Source organism: Homo sapiens, chromosome 3 (assembly GCF_000001405.40).
Source record: "Homo sapiens chromosome 3, GRCh38.p14 Primary Assembly".
NCBI classification, from domain to species: Eukaryota; Metazoa; Chordata; class Mammalia; order Primates; family Hominidae; genus Homo; species Homo sapiens.
This window is the reverse complement of record NC_000003.12, coordinates 181,305,099-181,325,260: the sequence shown is the minus strand read 5'-3', so window position 1 is coordinate 181,325,260 and position 20,162 is coordinate 181,305,099. Positions and strand designations below refer to the sequence as shown.

General features: G+C 39.5%; 1 long non-coding RNA gene across 3 annotated transcripts in view, besides 1 other annotated feature; it reads right to left on the bottom strand.

Moving 5' to 3' along the window:
* Positions 1-20,162, bottom strand: part of SOX2-OT (SOX2 overlapping transcript) — a 685,549-nt gene that overhangs the window by 416,968 nt on the left and 248,419 nt on the right. The window lies entirely within an intron of this gene.
* Positions 8,466-8,760: a silencer, noted in NCBI's record as "tiled region #15084; HepG2 Repressive non-DNase unmatched - State 24:Quies, and K562 Repressive non-DNase unmatched - State 24:Quies". NCBI's record gives its function as "represses a minimal TATA promoter and a strong SV40 promoter by Sharpr-MPRA in HepG2 cells, with weak repression in K562 cells {active_cell/tissue: HepG2 | K562}" and the evidence as "EXISTENCE:reporter gene assay evidence [ECO:0000049][PMID:27701403]".

Here is a 20,162-nt window from a genome sequence, read left to right as displayed (position 1 = left end):
CAGTGAAAGAACCATTCACTCCCCTGGAAAGGGGGCTGAAGCCAGGGAACCAAGTGGTCTGGCTCAGCAGATCCCACCCCCACGGAGCCCAGCAAGCTAAGATCCACTAGCTTGAATTTCTAGTTGTCAGCACAGCAGTCTGAAGTCCACCTGAGTTTCTTGAGCTTGGTTGGGGGAGGGGCGTCCTACCATTACTGAGGCTTGAGTAGGAGGTTTTCCCCTCACAGTGTAAACAAAGCCCCCAGGAAGTTTGAACTGGATGGAGCACACTGCAGCTCAGCAAAACCACTGTAGCCAGACTGCCTCTCTAGATTCCTTCTCTCTGGGCATGGTATCTCTGAAAGAAAGGCAGCAGCACCAGTCAGGGGCTTATATATAAAACTCCCATCTCCCTGGGACAGAGCACCAGGGGAAGGGGTGGCTGTGGGTGCAGCTTCAGCAGACTTAAACATTCCTGTCTGCAGGCTCTGAAAAGAGCAGTGGATCTCCCAGCACAGCGCTCAAACTCTGCTAAGGGACAGACTGCCTCCTCAAGCGGGTTCCTCACACCCATGCCTCCTGACTGGGAGACACCTTCCAGCAGAGGTCGACAGACACCTCATACAGGAGAGCTCCAGCTGGCCTCTGGCAGGTGCCCTTCTGGGGAGAAGCTTCCAGAGGAAGGAACAGGCAGCAATCTTTGCTGTTCTGCAGCCTCCGCTAGCGATACCTAGGCAAATGGGTCTGGAGTGGACCTCCAGCAAACTCCAGCAGACCTGCAGAAGAGGGGCCTGACTGTTAGAAGGAAAACTAACAAACAGAAAGGAATACCATCAACATCAACAAAAAGGACGTCCACAAAGAAACCCCATCCGAAGGTCACCAACATCAAAGACCAAAGGTAGATAAATCCACGAAGATGAGGAAAAAGCAGTGCAAAAAGGCTGCAAATTCCAAAAACCAGAACCCCTCTACTCCTTCAAAGGATCACAATTCCTCGCCAGCAAGGGAACAAAACTGGATGGACAATGAGTTTGATGAATTCACAGAAGTAGGCTTCAGAAGGTGGATAATAACAAACTCCTCCAAGCTAAAGGAGCATGTTCTACGCTAATGCAAATAAGCTAAGAACCTTGGAAAAATGTTAGATGAATTGCTAACTAGAATAAACAGTTTAGAGAAGAATATAAATGACCTGTTGGAGCTGAAAAACCAGCACAAGAACTTCATGAGGCATACACAAGTTATCTATAGCTGAATCGATCAAGCAGAAGGAAGGATATCAGAGACTGAAGATCAACTTAATGAGATAAAGTGTGAAGACAAGATTAGAGAAAAAAGAATGAAAAGGATGAACAAAGCCCCCAAGAAATATGGGACTATGTGAAAAGACCAACACTATGTTTGATTGATATACCTGAAAGTGAAGGGGAGAATGAAACCAAATTGGAAAACACTCTTCAGGATATTATCCAGGAGAACTTCCCCAATCTAGCAAGGCAGGCCAACATTCAAATTCAGGAAATACAGAGAACACCACCAAGATACTCCTCGAGAAAAGCAACCCCGAGACACATAATTGTCAGATTCACCAAGGTTGAAATGAAGGAAAAAATGCTAAGGGCGGCCAGAGAGAAAGGCTGGGTTACCCACAAAGGGAAGCTCATCAGACTAACAGCAGATCTCTCTGCAGAAATCCTACAAGCCAGAAGAGAGTGGGGGCCAATATTCAACATTCTTAAAGAAATGAATTTTCAACCCAGAATTTCATATCCAGCCAAACTAAGCTTCATAAGCAAAGGAGAAATAAAATCCTTTACAGACAAGGAAATGCTGAGAGATTTTGTCACCACGAGGCCTGCCTTACAAGAGTTCCTGAAGGTAGAACTAAATATGGAAAGGAAAAACCAATACTAGCCACTGCAAAAAGATACCAAATTGTAAAGACCATCGACACGATGAAGAAACTGTGTCAATTAACAGGCAAAATAACCAGCTAGCATCATAATGACAAGATCAAATTCACATATAACAATATTAACCTTAAATCTAAATGAGCTAAATGCCCCAATTAAAAGACACAGACTGGCAAGTTGGATAAAGACTCAAGACCCATTGGTGTGCTGTATCTCACGTGCAAAGACACACATAGCCTCAAAATAAAGGGATGGAAGAAACTTTACCAAGCAAATGGAAAGCAAAAAAAAGCAGGGGTTGCAATCCTAGTCTCTGATAAAAACAGACTTTAAAGCAACAAAGAAGAAAAAGGACAAAGAAGGGCATTACATAATGGTAAAGGGATCAACACAACAAGAAGAGCTAACTATCCTAAATATATATGCACCCAATATAGGAGCACCCAGATTCATAAAGCAAGTTCTTATAGACCTACAAAGAGACTTAGACTCCCATACAATACTAGTGGGAGAATTTAACACACCACTGTCAATGTTAGACAGATCACTGAGACAGAAAATTAACAAGGATATTCAGTACTTGAACTCAGCTCCGAAATAAGCGGACCTAATAGACATCTACAGAACTTTTCACCCCAAATCAACAGAATATACATTTTTCTCAGCACCACATCACATTTATTCTAAAATTGACCACATAATTGAAATTAAAACACTCCTCCACAAATGAAAAGAACAGAAATCATAACAAACAGTCTCTCACACCACAGTGCAATCAAATTAGAAATCAGGATTAAGAAACTCACTCAAAACTGCACAACTACATAGAAACTGGACAACCTGCTCCTGAATGACTACTGGGTAAATAACGAAGTTAAGGCAGAAATAAAGAAGTTCTTTGAAAGCAATGAGAACAGAGACACAATGTACCAGAATCTCCAGGACACAGCTAAAGCAGTGTTAAGAGGGAAATTTATAGCACTCAATGCCCACAGAAGAAAGTGGAAAAGATCTAAAATTGACACCCTAACATCACAATTAAAATAACTAGATAAGCAAGAGCAAACAAATTCAAAAGCTAGCAGAAGACAAGAAATAACTAAGATCACAGCAGAAATAAAGGAGATAGAGACATGAGAAACCCTCCAAAAAATCAATAAATCCAGGAGCTGTTTTTCTGAAAAGATTTACAAAATAGACCACTAGCCAGACTAATAAAGAAGAAAAGAGAGAGGAATCAAATAGACACAATAAAAAATGATAAAGGGGATATCACTACTGATCCTGCAGAAATGCAAACTACCATCAGAGAATACTATAAACACCTCTACACAAATAAACTAGAAAATCTAGAAGAAATGGATAAATTCCTGCATGCAAACACCCTACCAAGACTAAACCAGGAAGAAGTCAAATCCCTGAATAGAACAATAACAAGTTCTTAAATTGAGGCAGTAATTAATAGCCTACCACAAAAAAAAAAAAAGAGCAGGACCAGACGAATTCACAGTTGAATTCTACCAGAGGTACAAGGAGTAGCTGGTACCATTCCTTCTGAAACCATTCCAAACAATAGAAAAGGAGAGACTTTCCCTCACTCATTTTATGAGGCCACCATCATCCTGATACCAAAACCTGGCAGAGACACAAGAAAAAAAGAAAATTTCAGGCCAATATCCCTGATGAACATAGATGCGAAAATCCTTAATAAAATACTGGCAAACCGAACCCAGGAGCACATCAAAAAGCTTATCCACCACTATCATGTTGGCTTCATCCAGGGAATGCAAGGCTGGTTCAACATATGCAAATCAATAAACGTAATCCATCACATAAACAGAACCAATGACAAAAAACACATGATTATCTCAATAGATACAGAAAAGGCCTTCAATAAAATTCAGTGCCCCTTCATGCTAAAAACTCTCAATAAACTAGGTATTGATGGAATGTATCTCAAAATAATAAGAGCTTTTTATGACAAACCCACAGCCAATATCATACTGAATGGGCAAAAGCTGGAAGCATTCCCTTTGAAAACCAACACAAGACAAGGATGCTCTCTCTCTCCACTCCTATTCAACATAGTATTGGAAGTTCTGGCCAGGGGAATCAGGCAAGAGAAAGAAACAAAGGGTATTCAAATAGGAAGAGAGGAAGTCAAATGGTCTCTGTTTGCAGATGACATGATTGTATATTTAGAAAACCAATCATCTCAGCCCAAAATCACCTTAAGCTGATAAGCAACTTCAGCAAGTCTCAGGATACAAAATCAATGTGCAAAAATCAGAAACACTCTTATACACCAATAATAGACAAACAGAGAGCCAAATCATGAGTGAACTCCCATTCACAATTGCTACTAAGAGAATAAAATACCTAGGAATACAACTTACAAGGGAAGTGAAGGACCTCTTCAGGGAGAACTACAAACCACTGCTCAAGGAAATAAGAGAGGACACAGATGAAAAAACATTCCATGCTCACGGACAGGAAGAATAATTATCATGAAAATGGCCATACTGCCCAAAGTAATTTATAGATCCAATGCTATTCCCATCAAACTACCATTGACTTTCTTCACAGAATTAGAAAAAAAACTACTTTAAATTTCATATGGAACAAAAAAGAGCCCATATAGCCAAGACAATCCTAAGCAAAAAGAGCAAAGCTGGAGGCATTACGCTACCTGACTTCAAACTACAAGGCTACAGTAACCAAAACAGCATGGTACTGGTACAAAAGCAGATATATAGACCAATGGAAAAGAACAGAGGCCTCAGAAATAACGCCACACATTTACAACCATCTGATCTTTGACAAACCTGACAAAAACAAGCAATGGGGAAAGGATTTCCTATTTAATAAATGGTGTTGGGAAAACTGGCTAGCCATGTGCAGTAAACTGAAACTGGACCCCTTCCTTACACCTTATACAAAAATTAACCCAAGATGGATCAAAGATTTAAATGTAAGACCTAAAAACATAAAAACCCTAGAAGAAAACCTAGGCAATACCATTCAGGACATAGGCGTGGGTAAAGACTTCATAACTAAAACACCAAAAGCAATGGCAACAAAAGCCAAAATTGACAAATGGAATCTAATTAAACTAAAAAGCTTCTGCACAGCAAAAGAAACTATCATCAGAGTGAACAGGCAACCTACAGAATGGGGGAAAACTTTTGCAATCTATCCATCTGACAAAGGGCTAATATCCAGAATCTACAAAGAACTTAAACAAATTTACAAGAAAAAAAGAAACAACCCCATCAAAAAAGTGGGTGAAGGATATGAACAGACACTTCTCAAGAGAAAACATTTATGCGGCCAACAAACATATGAAAAAAAGCTCATCACTGGTCATTAGAGAAATGCAAATCAAAACCACAATGAGATACCATCTCACGCCAGTTAGAATGGCAATTGTTAAAAAGTCAGGAAACAACAGATGCTGAAGAGGATGTGGAGAAATAGGAAGGCTTTTACACCGTTGGTGGGAGCGTAAATTAGTTCAACTGTTGTGGAAGACAGTGTGGCTATTCCTCAAGGATCTAGAACTAGAAATACCATTTGACCTGGCAATCCCATTACTGGGTATACATCCAAAGGATTATAAATCATTCTACTATAAAGACACATGCACACGTATGTTTACTGCAGCACTATTCACAATAGCAAAGACTTGGAACCAACCCCAATGCCTATCAATGTTAGACTGGATAAAGAAAATGTGGCACACATACACCATGGAATACTATGCAGCCCTAAAAAAGAATGAGTTCATATCCTTTGCAGGGACATGGATGAAGCTGGAAACCATCATTCTCTGTAAACTAACATAGGAACAGAAAACCAAATACCACATCATGTTCTCAATCAGTGGGAGTTGAACAAGGAGAACATATGCTGACAGGGAGGGGAATATTATACACTGTGGCCTGTCAGGAGTGGGAGGCAAGGGAAGGGACAGCATTAGGAGAAATACTAAATGTAGATTATGGGTTGATGGATGCAGCAAACCACCATGGCACATGTATACCTATGTAACAAACCTGCATGTTCTGCACATGTATCCCAGAACTTAAAGTACAATAATAAAAAAAGAAGATAGACAGTTTACATACAAAAACTCTAAATATAAAATTAACAAATAGAAAAATTATAGCCCTACTAACTGATCAAAAGACCTTTAAAAATACCATTAAAATTTACTGAATACACAAAAATAAGAAAACTCAATGTTGGTAGGACCATGGGGAACCTGGCATATATAGCATGTACATTTACTATGAAAATATGGGCCAACATTGGAGAAAATAATACAGACAGGCATTATTCAGACCCCTGACCTAGGAATTTTATTTGGTAAAATTATACCACAACAGAAGACTACAGCCAAAGAAAAAGAAAAATGTATACAAGGTGTTCTCAATACACCTGAAGGTAATGAGAAAAGGAAAATAAAAATAAAGGAAGAAAAGACAGAAGGACACAAGAAAGGAAGAAAAGTAAGAAACAAATTTTCAAATTAAAAAATTGAGAGGAAGGAAGGAAGACAGCAAGGAAGGGAAGAGAAGGGAGGTAAAGAAAGAAAAATTGAAATAAGATAAATGTCCAAGAATAAGGAAATAGATAAGTAAACTGGCATAGCAACATGCAGAGACAATATATAATTAATTAAAAGAAATACATATATTGGACCAATGCATGGAGGATATATACTCATATATATATGTGTGTGTGTGTGTGTCTGTGTGTCTGTATGTGTGTGTGTCTGTGTGTCTGTATGTGTGTGTCTGTGTGTCTGTATGTGTCTGTGTGTGTGTTTGTGTGTATGTGTGTGTCTGTATGTGTGTGTATGTGTGTATGTCTGTCTGTGTGTGTGTGTGTGTGTATGTGTGTGTGTTTATGTGTGTGTGTGTGTGTGTGTACTGGGCATGATGGGTCAAGCACTATGCTAGGCTTTTGCTACATTTAATCTTCACAACTGCTCTGCCTTGGCAGATTATTTTGTACCAAGACTCACAGTTTAAATTTGCCCAAATAAACTATCTTAAAAAAATCAGATATTCACTAAATAGCACTGTAAAAATACACTTTATATATCAAAAGATAATTTTCAGTGATACAAACACTTAGAATACAACAGTCATTTTAAGATTTCATCTACTAAAAATGATGAAAATTAATTACAGCTTCTAATTCGGCTGCAGTCTTGTCCAGAGTTTTTATTTTTTTTGTGGTGGGGAGGGTGGGTGGGGGTGAGAGGGAGAACTGGAACATCGGACCACTATTTTAAAAATAATGAGTTTGATGAAAAAAAATATTTCTACCCTCCTAATAAATTTATAGGGTTTTTTGGGGGGTGGGTGGGTGGGATGTTGCAAGACCTTGGCCTTCGTTTCTAAAAGTCTTCTGGTTTCTACCAACAGAGAGAAGCTCCAAACTGTCTCCATTAACCTCTGATCATAGCATGAGGTGAAGGGGAATCAGGCAAACTGAGAATATTTAAATATTCTCTCTGCATAAAAGCTGTTTAGCTGCTGGAATCATTTCCTCTTGCTGTCCCTGAGCTAAAGAAGTAGATCGATCAGCAGGGGAGGTGAACAGATGCAGCTGGACAGGAAGAGAGGCTTAGAGGAATCACATTTGAGCAGCCATGGGGGATGAGACACGGCAGAGGAGAGTTCACAGAAGCAGCTGGAAGGACGGAGCAACAGAGGAAAGGGGCTCAGCAAGGAGAAAGCAAGAGACAAGATGTGCTCAGAGAAGCTCACAGCTTGCAATACTCCCTAAATGTCTGCACAGAATGAGGAAGACACTTATTCCCAAGGGGGACTGTCATTCCCCCTTTTCCATTACAGCCTGCAGAAAAATTGAACACACATTTCAATCTTCCATTTGCCCTTTTTGGACATCCTGGCCTCTGTGATCAAGGCCCACCCTAGATACATAACCCTGGGGCAAGTCTCCTATTGTATTCCCATTTCCCAAAAGGTAAAGTCATTCATCTATATTAGGCATTGACCAGGAAATATGTCAGGGAATGCTCAGCATTCTTCTTCTCTATAAGCATCAGGGACTCACTTTCTTCTCTCCTATCCCACACAGGTGAATGCTACATCCAAATGACCAAGAGTCAGAATTCTTGAAAGAAGAGAATTTCTGACAGATAGTGAGATGAGAACACACTGAGTGAATAAGGGTTGAATAACAAATTAACACTCCTCAGAAAGCCTTTCAACAAAAACCAGCCATCTGGAAAAAGCTGAAAGCTCTGTATTTTTGGAAGCCACTGTTTACAGAACATATTAAACTTCTTTATTATTAATGTTACAAATAAGCAGAGAACAAAAACACTCACACCTTATAGATAGCCTCATTATATCCCTGACGATCATCCTGGAAATTAAGATAATGATAGCATTTTGCATTAATATGGGCCTCTATAGTGTACAGGCAATTAATACATGGTTTATTTTAATTATCTTCCTTAATTTTAAAGGTGGGATTTTAAGGAGTGTATATCATTTAAATTTCATTGTCAGAGGTACAGGATATTCTTTAGAACAATTATTGCCTGTACATACATGTGCATTTAAAAATCATCACTCACCATTACCTAGTCTTATCTTGAATCTATAGCTCTTCTAATGCCTGACAGTCCCTTCAGCACCTAGGACAGTGCCTCATTTTCATCATCACGTAACTATCTGAAGAAATAAACAGTATCATATTGAAGGACAGGACTCTGCTGCAGAACTCTTTACATATTTCAGGAGATGGAAAAAAAAGCTGGCCTTCAAGATATAGGCACAAAGTAAAATCATCTTTTTAGACATCATTAAGTAGCAAACTATTATGCCAGTTTATTTATTTTAATTACAGAAATTTTTGGTAGCCTCATCTCAAGTAATGCTAACATAAAAGGCACATATCCAAACAGAAATACAAGTTAATTTTCAGGGAACCATTCCCCAATGAGTTTTATACGAATAGGCCATTACTTTCCCTTTTCTTCCCTGTGGACCAAGGTTACCAACATTGTTCCCTTTTACAAATAGCATATTAAAAAAAAAAAAGAAGAAGATGAGGGGAGGACACCAGAGAAGGAATTAATATTCATTAAGCCTTTAAAATGTGCCTGATAAAAAACATTGGCACTTTTAAAAAACATTATCTTAATATTTATAATAACTCTAAGAAATAGGTATTCTTGTCTAGATGAAGAAACTAAAGCTCAGAGATTTTAAGAAACTGATCCAAGAGGTCCAGAAGATCTAAGTGCTTCTATTAACCAGGCTCCTAGTTATTAGTAAATTTGTGTGCTTAAGTATTCACTAAGTTTCTCTCTCTCTCTCTCTTCCCCCGCATATACACACAGAAAGACACAGAAACACAGTTACAATGAGAACTACAATAAAATATGGAATGCTGAGAGCAACACACAATGTTTTCTGGATAGCAGAGATAAATATAAAATCATAGAAATATTACATCCTCTCACGGAAATCAGGATCAGAAACTGTCAGATGAGAAGTCTTGATGGTCATTTTTAGACAGAATGATTAAAATGTAAATCTATTAGGTTTTTAGGTGAGATGGGACTTTGTAGGTAGATTTTAGTCTGTTCACTGCACAGCACTCCAAAATTCATTTTCCTGACTTCTCCAAGCAGTTACTAAATCCTGCCCTTGTACTACCCCAGAATTTTTATTAAATGTCTACATAGGTTTTGCCTTGTTTTAATACACGGAACCTCTCCCAGAAGTTCTAAACCTGTAGCTCACAGCCCCTTCCCTCAAAACAAAATTGCAAATGTTGTGCCTTTGTGCATTTTTCTGCAATGGTGTTTTATAACTTCCCCAGATTTTTCACTGCTCTAAGCTATAAGGTCAATCCCCGTTATCTCCTCCGGGTAGCACAGTGCTTGACCCTCAATAAATGTCTGACCAATAAATGAATAAATGGCATTTGATGAGACTCTGAAAGAAAATGTGCAGTCCTCTCTGTGTTCTTTGGCCTCCTAGAGTTCTGTAAAATTTAAATAGTGGCCGGGCGCGGTGGTTCACGCCTGTAATCCCAACACTTTGGGAGGCTGAGCGGGGCGGATCAGGAGTTCAGGAGATGGAGACCATCCTGGCTAATATGGTGAAGCCCCGTCTCTACTAAAAATACAAAAAATTAGCCGGGCTTGGTGTCGGGCTCTTGTAGTCCCAGCTACTCGGGAGGCTGAGGCAGGAGAATGGCGTGAACCCGGGAGGCGGAGCTTGCAGTGAGCCGAGATCGCGGCACTGCACTCCAGCCTGGGCGACAGAAGAAGACTCCGTCTCAAAAAAAAAAAAAAAAAAAAAAAAAAATTAAATAGTTCTGTTTTAGCAGTGCTTCAGCATTATGTTGAGCACATGAAGTCTGGAGTCTTCTGCCTAGGTTCCTGTCTGGGCTCCACCACTTATTAACTGTTTGACTTTAGCCAAGCTATTTGGCTCTCTAAGCCTCAGTTTCTTCATCTCTGAAATGGGGCTTATGATAAGATTTGCTTAATGTATCTGATGTAATTAGGTAATGAAAAAATATGTTAAAAGTGCCTGGCACATGCTAGCAGACACCCAGCGACTGTTATGTGAGGATGGCATTGTATTTGCTGGTGGTGACTACAATCCCAGAACTCTGCTAATTACTCTTCTGCATATCTGGGACATAAATTCAGATAACATTAAAACCATAGTAGAGCAAAGCCTATTTCCATTTTCTTAACATGTAATTTATTGAGCACCTACAATAGCCTGGCCTAATAAGTGGCATAAGATGAAATTCATACATACACAGAAATAGAAACAGAAAATTAAAAATTAAAATATCATATTTGAACTTTTAGGGGATTGTGGCTAAGAAGTTTCTCTTAGTGCTAGGTTTCTTCTCAGTATTTCCTTTAACCACCCCAAGTCACTATGACAGATAATGTCGGTTTTACTGAAATGTCTCTGACAAGGATGGAGAAGTAGGGAGATATTTTCACAGATGGCTCAGGCCTGTGCATTTTTTTTTTTCCAGTGGTGTCCTTCCTGCAGCAAAAGGCTCAAACCTGTCCTAGAAAATTTTGACTGGCTTCCTTTGAGAAGGGAGTGTTTTTGGTTCACTGGACTTTGGAATATTTTTACTGCTATATGCTCCCCCCAATTCCTCTATCAGTTTTAATTCTGAAATATTTTGGAGCAATTGTGCTAGCAAAGTATATTAAGTATATTAAAAGTAAATAAATATTCTGACCTGTTTAAACAACTTGATGACTGGTGATTATTGGGAGAATAATGTACCAAAAATCTTTCCGCTGAATTTTATGTTTTATTAAGTAATATTAGTAAAGGATTTTAACATGATGATATATGCCTGGCTGGAAGCATACTTGTATCTAATTGTGTGCGCACAGTAAGTCTACATGAATTTATACAAATCTATGCTGAAAGTGGTATACGCTGGATTCTAACAAATCAAGATGCTCATTTAACACAATACATTTAAAGACAAAAAGTGCAGTTATTATTCCAAAGAAACTCTTGTATTAAAGAATCAGAAAGCCTCAGATTCATCATAACTAACAAGACTTGAATGAAGTGCGTTCTGTTGCTGCATTTCTCATTCTAACAGCCTCTCCTCACTGAGTTCTGGCTGGTGCATCAGGCCTTTCTGCAGCGGGATAATAACTGATGGCAGGCTGACACAGAGCCCAAGGAGAGCTCCATCAGGAGGTCTCCTGGGCTTAGGGATCAGTGTGCTTAAAATATTAGGATTTGATAGAGTTAACACTTGCCCTTGAGCAGATGGTTTTGAACATTCTGTCAACACTGCCAGTGATTACTGCAAACAGATTCTTCGTCCCAGAGGGACGGGAGTGAAGTGCTTTCTAGTTCCCCAGTCTCATCTAAGAGGTGTAAAACGTGTCATTTCCAGGGTCTTCTCTCAGCCATGAGAAGTGCAAACAGTTCCCACACCACGCAGCCAGAGAGCCATAACTCAATCAAGAGCCTTTTCCCTGGGTCGGAGAGGAAATACAGACCTGGCTGAGCTTAAACTTAACTTAAAATTTTCTATTTTGTGCCACAGGAATACTTTGGGTCACTGGAATACTTTGTCACTGAATTTCTTTTTACAGCCTGCCAGAATGAAGATTAGCAGTAATTAGACCTCACAACGAGTGTAAGAGGTGTGAAAATGGGGAAGATTTTGTGGAAACAAGTTGACTTCAAAGTTTCCAAAGTAGGAATTAACACACCTGCCAGTGTTTATTTTGAACTTTGGCAAAGTCATTTTGGGGAGAAATGTCTCTGCAAATGAAGAGCATACATAACCCACTCCTTTTGAGTGAAATTGGTTCTAAGAATTAAGAAATGAAACAATCAATGATAGGAAATTATGGAAAGCAACTTGCAACATTCTCATTCTACAGTAGAACAAACCAGTAACACCAGAGAAGGCATAGCAACTGCAGCATCATTCAGTAAGGCCTGCTCTCTGCATAGCGCTGCATTTTGAGGAATGCCATTAGCCAAACGAAATTTCCTGTACCCCAAAATAAGAGTTCAGAAGACAGAGCCTATATTCATAGAAGCTTTGCTGTAGAAGAAGCTGACAGAAAACCTCTTACCCACAATGATTAGGACTTCATTACTAGAAAATAATGTGCAAGATAAACACCTCCATCTCCAACCTTGGAAAATGGTTATTTTAGGTGCTGTTTGCCTGGTCCTGCCTGTCAGCTGATCTCCACTGAGTGAACCTGAGCTGCTTCTCACCGTTACTTCTGAGAGGAAATGCTTTGCAGGACAAACAAGCCTGCCAATTCCAACATGCAGAGGGGCTTTTTAAAAAAAAGAAAAGAAAAGAAGAGTGAAGTGTGTGAGAGGCAAAGCTTAAAGATGTGCAGATCTAGACCTCGGCTCTCATGCTAAAGGTTTATAGCCTCTCCTTCATTATATCGTCTTGCTGTGATGCTCCGAACACCTGTGCTATTAAATTTTTTTCTTAGATTTTTTTAATAAGAAAAAACTAACAAAGTAAAATTTGTTGACAGTGTTCACAGTCAATGCAGTGGGTGTTCCACCTATGCGCTGTCACATTTTTCATGTTCATTTCTGCAGGTGCTAAACACATGCTGACAACAACATATGTTACCAATCTTAAGTGTTTTTTTTTTTTTTAAACTGGTAATTAAGGAGTGCACACAGCTTGAAAAAAAATAATACAGGTGAAAGCTGCCTCTGCCCAAAGAGTTCTTATTTATTTTTCTTCTGCCATTTAGGTAGTTTTAAATGCAGCATATATAAAAAAGTAAGCTCTCAAAATTATTATCTATGTAAATAGCAGTCATAAAACAAATTTGTAACTTAACGCTAAAAACACTTGAGCTTACTTGCTCCCTCAGGAAACCCCGTGTATTCCTTCCTCTTTTTTTGTTTTGCTTTGTTTTTTGTTTTTTATTTTTTTCTTGGCTCTTTGTTGTTTTTCTTGCTCCTTTTATTCATGCATTTGGGCTTTCTGGAAAATCATACAAACCCTCCAAAAAGTATTTATTATGCTATACAAACCTCAAAGTTGTAGAAACATTCTCTAAGTAGAATTCTTTCATACTTTTGTTACTTTCTGACTGTGTACAAGATCACTACTGCATAGTTAAATAATTAGCAAGAAATCATTGTAATTTTATCCCTATGAATTGCAGAGACAATTTCTTTTTATCAGCCATTAGGGGACTGTATAACAGCTTCTACATTCTTCCTCTAGGGACCAATGATGGGGTGATTGATGATGTTTTCAAAATGGGCAGGACTCAATTCTCTGACAGCTGGTAAGAAAGAGTTTTGAAGTGTTCTCCAAATGTGACGAAATATCAAAATCAGCTGGGCACTCAATCTTCCTACCTTTGATCCTCTCCCCACCCCTAACTGCAGGCAATCGGCCAAGCTTAGTCCATCCTCAGAGCCCTTGCTTCTCCTTACCCAAGACCTTCACATAAACAAGCTGCAGCTGGGGTGGTTCCTCTTTGGAAACGCTTTCTTGAACACCCTGTGCAATGCTGCTTCACCCCAGAACTCAGACACTTGGCCGTGCTTCGTGGACCTTGAGGTGATTGTCGCTATTATAAGTTATTGTTTGCTTCTCCAACTAAAATGTAAGCCCCATAAGATAAAGGACTCCTTATCTACTTTGTTCACATCTAGCATGGAACCTGCACAAAGTAGATGTTTAATCAATATTTGTTGAATAAATTAATAAGTCACTTACAGATACATATATGTAAGGCTGTTTTCCCTGGGCATTATGATTCAGTAGGTCACAGGGGAAGCCAAAAATCTCTAGTAAAAGCACTTCAGGTAGATGAGATCATCAGAAAAATTTAAGAAACACTTTCTTATGTGCCTTGCTACCCAGCATGGTCCATGAACTGGCAGCATCAGCATTGTCAGGGAGCTTGTGAGAAATGTGGACCCCCAGGCTCAGCCCCAGACCCACTGAATTAGAACCTACATTAGCAAGATCTCTGGGTGATCTGTACACTAATTAATGTTTGAGAAGCACTGCACAGCCACATGTATTTCCAGACCAAGTCTCTCTTGCCAATGAGATACATAAATGGAGGCATCGCCAGGACTCTCTGGCAAAGACCCTCACCTAGGCCTGGCAGCAGAAATGGGAGCTTTGCGATGGAAATTATCAGCTCCATACCTCCAAAAATGAATATTTAACTTCCACACCAGCAATTCTCATAGTGTGATCCCCAAGCTAGCAGCATCAGTATCACTTGGAAACTTACTGGAAATACAAATTCTTGGGCCTCACCTCAAACCTACTGAATTAGAAACCCTGAGGGTGGGACCCAACAATTAGCCTTTTTTTTTTTTTCTTTTTGAGGCAGAGTCTTGCTCTGTCGCCCAGGCTGGAGTGCAGTGCCGCGATCTCGGCTCACTACAAGCTCCACCTCCAGGGTTCACACCATTCTCCTCCTCAGCCTCCCGAGTAGCTGGGATTACAGGCACCCGCCACACCGCTGGGCTAATTTTTTGAATTTTTAGTAGAGACAGGGTTTCACCATGTTAGCCAGGATGGTCTTGATCTCCTGACCTCATGATCCACCCACCTTGGCCTCCCAAAGTGCTGGGATTACAGGCGTGAGCCACCGTGCCCGGCCCAATTTGCCTTTTAACTGGCTCTCCACGTGAGATTCTGATTTTTACTAAAGTTTGGGAAACACTGTTTTAGACCAGAGTGTGTTAAAATCACTGGGGGGGTGGGGAGAGGGCATGGGGGGATGAGTTTCAGAAATCTCAATGCTTAGGCCACACCCCAGCTCAATTAAATAAGAATTTCTGGGAGTGGCAGCCAGTTTTCAGTGAACTAAATCTTTTAATTTGATTCTGATGGCAGTTGAGACTGGGAACCACAGTTCTATACCACAACCAGATCTATCTGGCCACTTGGCATTAGTTAGTCACCAGAAGAACTTGGAAGCAAATTAGATTCAGACAGTGGTTCTCAAACTGCAGCATGCATGAGAATCTCACCTGCAGGTGTTATTAAAACACAGACTGGCAGGTCCTACCCCTAGAGTTTGAGTTAGCAGGTCTGGGGTGGGGCAGACAGTCTACGTTTCTAACAACTTCCCAGGTGATGCTGATGCTGCTGGTCCAGAGAAGATACTCCAAGAGCCACTGCTCTGCAGTAATCAGTCTCCAGGATAGTTCAGAGATACTCAATTTAAAGCAGAGACAAGTTTATTTTGCTAAATTCTGGAAAGGCATAAACACAGAAGGCACATTTGTGCTGGATCTGGGTCAGTTTTTATTATTTTATTCCCCAGGTGGCAGCCTCAGCACAGATTTAACAACTACATTCTGATGTCTCCCCCATAGCCTGAAGGCTCATTCTCATTCATCCTCCCTCATCCTCACTCTACAACACCCAAGTTTGTAGGATCTTATTAGGGCCCATTTCACAGGTTTTATTCAGGAAGAATACACATGTCTCCCAGACTCTGACATCCTAGGTCTGACAGACTACATTAAGTTCTTCCAACATGGTCCAACTACAGAGGTCACTGGTGACTAAGTAGAGCCACCTGAAGCCAGTGGACCCCAAATTTCTGATCCTTGTAAACTCCTCTCCATGCTTTTATAGTCAGGAATTGGAAAGGAGGATTATCTATTAAGTAGATAACTAAGAACTGGATAGACATGGATTCAGATCATGGCTCTGTCCCTTAATTAATTAGTTTAATCTTTCTATGTGTACTGATCTATGAAACAGATAGGAGACTTATGAGTTAGACATTCCTTGGTGCTAGGTACTGCCCAGCCATTTATTGGCTATGTATCTTGAAGGAGGTTACTTCTTTACCCCTCAGTTTTGTTCTAATGATATTACCACCCCTCAGGGTTGTTGTAAGAAGCAAAACGAGTTACTTTATATAAAGGGTACAGAATATGTCCCTGGTGCTTTATGTATTTTAGACTTTAAGCTGCTCAGATCTCTGGTTCCTCCACAAATTGTTCAACCACTCACCTCCCTACTTCCAAATAGTGGTTTATAATCTTCTATTTCCTAGTCCCTCATCATGTCTTGATCCCAGTTATCTGGTTATGGCCCCTACTGTTCCACAGGTACCTAGTAATCTAGGCATTTTACATGGACTATCTCATTTAATCCTCAAAACAAATTTAAGGGGTACACTGAGGTATTCTTAAATTATAAATGGTTCAACTTAGGCCCAGATAAATTAAGTAACTTTCTCAAGGATACACATGTCCTTTAGTAATTGGATAATTGGGACTTAAACTCAAGCAGATCAGACTTTTCAGCCGACTAATGAGCTATAAATGATCAAACCCAATGGCCTTGTTTCTAGATTCTTATTGTCCTTGATCTCCCTGGATCATCAAAGGCAACTGACTACTCTCTCCCTGAAAGTTTCTTCTCTCTGGACTTACTAATAGTCACAGCATTAGACTATTCTTTCTCCTAACTTTCAATTCTTTTTTAGGTCTCCAAATCAGTATTATAAACTTTGACCTCTCTCCTAAACTCCATACCTTCATTTCCAATTGCCTGCTGGGCATTTCTGCCTGGCTTTGACCAGAAACTCAAAAGCTTCATATGCCTCTCCCTAGCTCATTCTCCTTCCTTATTTATTTTTGTTAATGGCACCACCATCTCCCTAGGCATCAGGGTTCAAAACCTCAGAGGCAGGTAGTTAGTTGGAGCCCCTACTTAGCTATTTCTACTGCAAACTCACTCTTTTCACAAGCTACACTACCTCTCTAAAAGGGCCTTAATGCCACTTCTCAGCAGCAATGTGGGCAATAAAAATTATAGATAACACCTCTGCCCTTCCCCAAAAAGGAAAATGAACTGGAAAGGGAAATTTCAAAATTAAATAAAAAATTAGCCATAATCTTTCTTTTCTTTTTTTTTTAATTATACTTTAAGTTCTGGAATACATGTGCAGAACGTGCAGGTTTGTTACATCGGTATACATGTGCCATGGTGGTTTGCTGCACCCATAAACGCGTCATCCAAATTAGATATTTCTCCTAATGCTATCCCTCCTCTTGCCCCCCACTCCCCAACAGGCCCCAGTGTGTGATGTTCCCCTCCCTGTGCCCATATGTTCTCATTGTTCAACTCCCAATGATGACAGAGAACATGTGGTATTTGGTTTTCTGTTCCTGTGTTAGTTTGCAGAGAATGATGGTTTCCAGCTTCATCCGTGTCCATGCAAAGGATATGAACTCATTCTTTTTTAGGGCTGCATAGTATTCCATGGTGTATGTGTGCCACATTTTCTTTATCCAGTCTAACATTGATGGGCATTTGGGTTGGTTCCAAGTCTTTGCTATTGTGAATAGTGCTGCAATAAACATACGTGTGCATGTGTCTTTATAGTAGAATGATTTATAATCCTTTGGATGTATACCCAGTAATGGGATTGCCAGGTCAAATGGTATTTCTAGTTCTAGATCCTTGAGGAATCACCACACTGTCTTCCTCAACGGTTGAAGTAATTTACATTCCCACCAAAAGTGTAAAACAGCTTCATTCCTATTTCTCCACATCCTCTTCAGCATCTGTTGTTTCCTGACTTCTTAATGATTGCCATTCTAACTGGCATGAGATGGTATCTCATTGTGGTCTTTGATTTGCATTTCTCTAATGACCAGTTATGATATGCTTTTTTTTCATACGTTTGTTGACTGCATAAATGTCTTCTTTTGAGAAGTGTCTGTTCTTATCTTTTGCTCACTTTTTGATGGGGTTGTTTTTTCTTGTAAATTTGTTTAAGTTCCTTGTAGATTCTGGATATTAGCCCTTTGTCAGATGAATAGATTGCAAAATTTTTCTCCCATTCTGTAGGTTGCCTGTTCACTCTGATGATAGTGTCTTTTGCTGTGCAGATGCTCTTTAGTTTAATTAGATCTCATTTGTCAACTTTGGCTTTTATTGCCATTGCTTTTGGTGTTTTAGTCATGAGGTCTTTGCCCACGCCTATGTCCTGAATGGTATTGCCTAGGTTTTCTTTTAGGGTTTTTATGGTTTTAGGTCTTATGTATGAATCTTTAATCCATCTTAAGTTAATTTTTGTATAAGGTGTAAGGAAGGAGTCCAGTTTCAGTTTTCTCCATATGGCTAGCTGGTTTTCCCAACACCATTTATTAAATAGGGAATCCTTCCCCCATTGCTTGTTTTTGTCAGGTTTGTCAAAGATCAGATGGTTGAAGATGTGTGGCATTATTTCTGAGGCCTCTGTTCTGTTCCATTGGTCTATATAACTGTTTTGGTACTAGTACCATGCTGTTTTCGTTACTGTAGCCTTGTAGTATAGTTGGAAGTCAGGTAGTGTGATGCCTCCAGCTTTGTTCTTTTTGCTTAGGATTGTCTTGGCTATAAGGGCTCTTTTTTGATTCCATATGAAATTTAAAGTAGTTTTTTTCTAATTCTGTGAAGAAAGTCAATGGTAGCTTGACAGGGATAGCATTGAATCTATAAATTACTTTGGGCAGTATGGCCATTTTCATGATATTGCTTCTTCCTATCCATGAGCATGGAATGTTTTTTCATTTATCTGTGTCCTCTCTTATTTCCTTGAGCAGTGGTTTGTAGTTCTCCTTGAAGAGGTCCTTCACAACCCTTGTATGTTCTATTCGTAGGTCTAAATCAAAGAAAGATTATGTATATACTGTGCTCCATTTTTCCTGTTAAGAAGAACCATCTAGGAAACTCTTTTCTTACATGTAAAGGTGTTTGTCTTCACATGTGAGAGGAGACATTAGTTGGCCATGCAGCTGGGAGAATTAAACTTACAATCCAGTAGCACCATAATATAAGGTATCATGCTTATTTGCCCACTGTTTTTTAAAATAATTATTTCCAAATTGTTTGAAATATTTAGACAAACTTATTCAGTCATGGTGAATGAAATGCATAATCTTTAAGGTCCAGGAGAATCAAGGTATAGCTTTAAATTGTTAGAACTTGAAGTCTAAACTGCTTTAATGATCTGGTTAACTAAATGCCAGTTATTTCTCAACTTAGAAGCTCAAAGTTAGGGCCAAGGGTCTAAACTCTCTTTCCCTTAAGTGGTACTTAAAATCACAGAGCTCTCTGGATAAGTTATTCACTACTTCATGTGTGAGTTTCTCATGTGCATTTAGTGATAATCATAATACACCATCAGAGAGAGTGCAGTGGTCTTGAGAGAGGCTGATTTCAAAAAGAACTTGCATGCTCAGACTGACACACTCCGAAACCTACGGCCAAAAAGCAGTTTGCATCACTGACTGGTTCTGGAACTGGTTCTGGGGCTGGCTGGTAGAGGAGACCAACTGTACAGTGAAACTGTCTGCTGGCCTGCAATATACATGGCAGGGACGTGAGGATGCAGCATACACATGAAGTATAATTCACCGATGATATATAACAGGTTTTTAGGAGCACAAACTAAATCACCTGGAATTTTGCCAGACTCAAAAAGGAAAAAAAAAAGCCATAACAATCTTCTTTCTGCTAAGAATAATTACGTGAAATGTTCCCAGTAGGGTTGCCACCTTATTAAGTACCCAATTGTGATCTGCGGCTGCTAGGGACTGGCTAACAACATGATGAATGCTTTGTACAAGATCTATAGGAAGGACAAGCAAAGTTAAAGGGATATGTTATTTGGAAACATAAATGCAGCTGAAGTTCAGGGGCTCCTAATGAAAACACGTCTTTAAC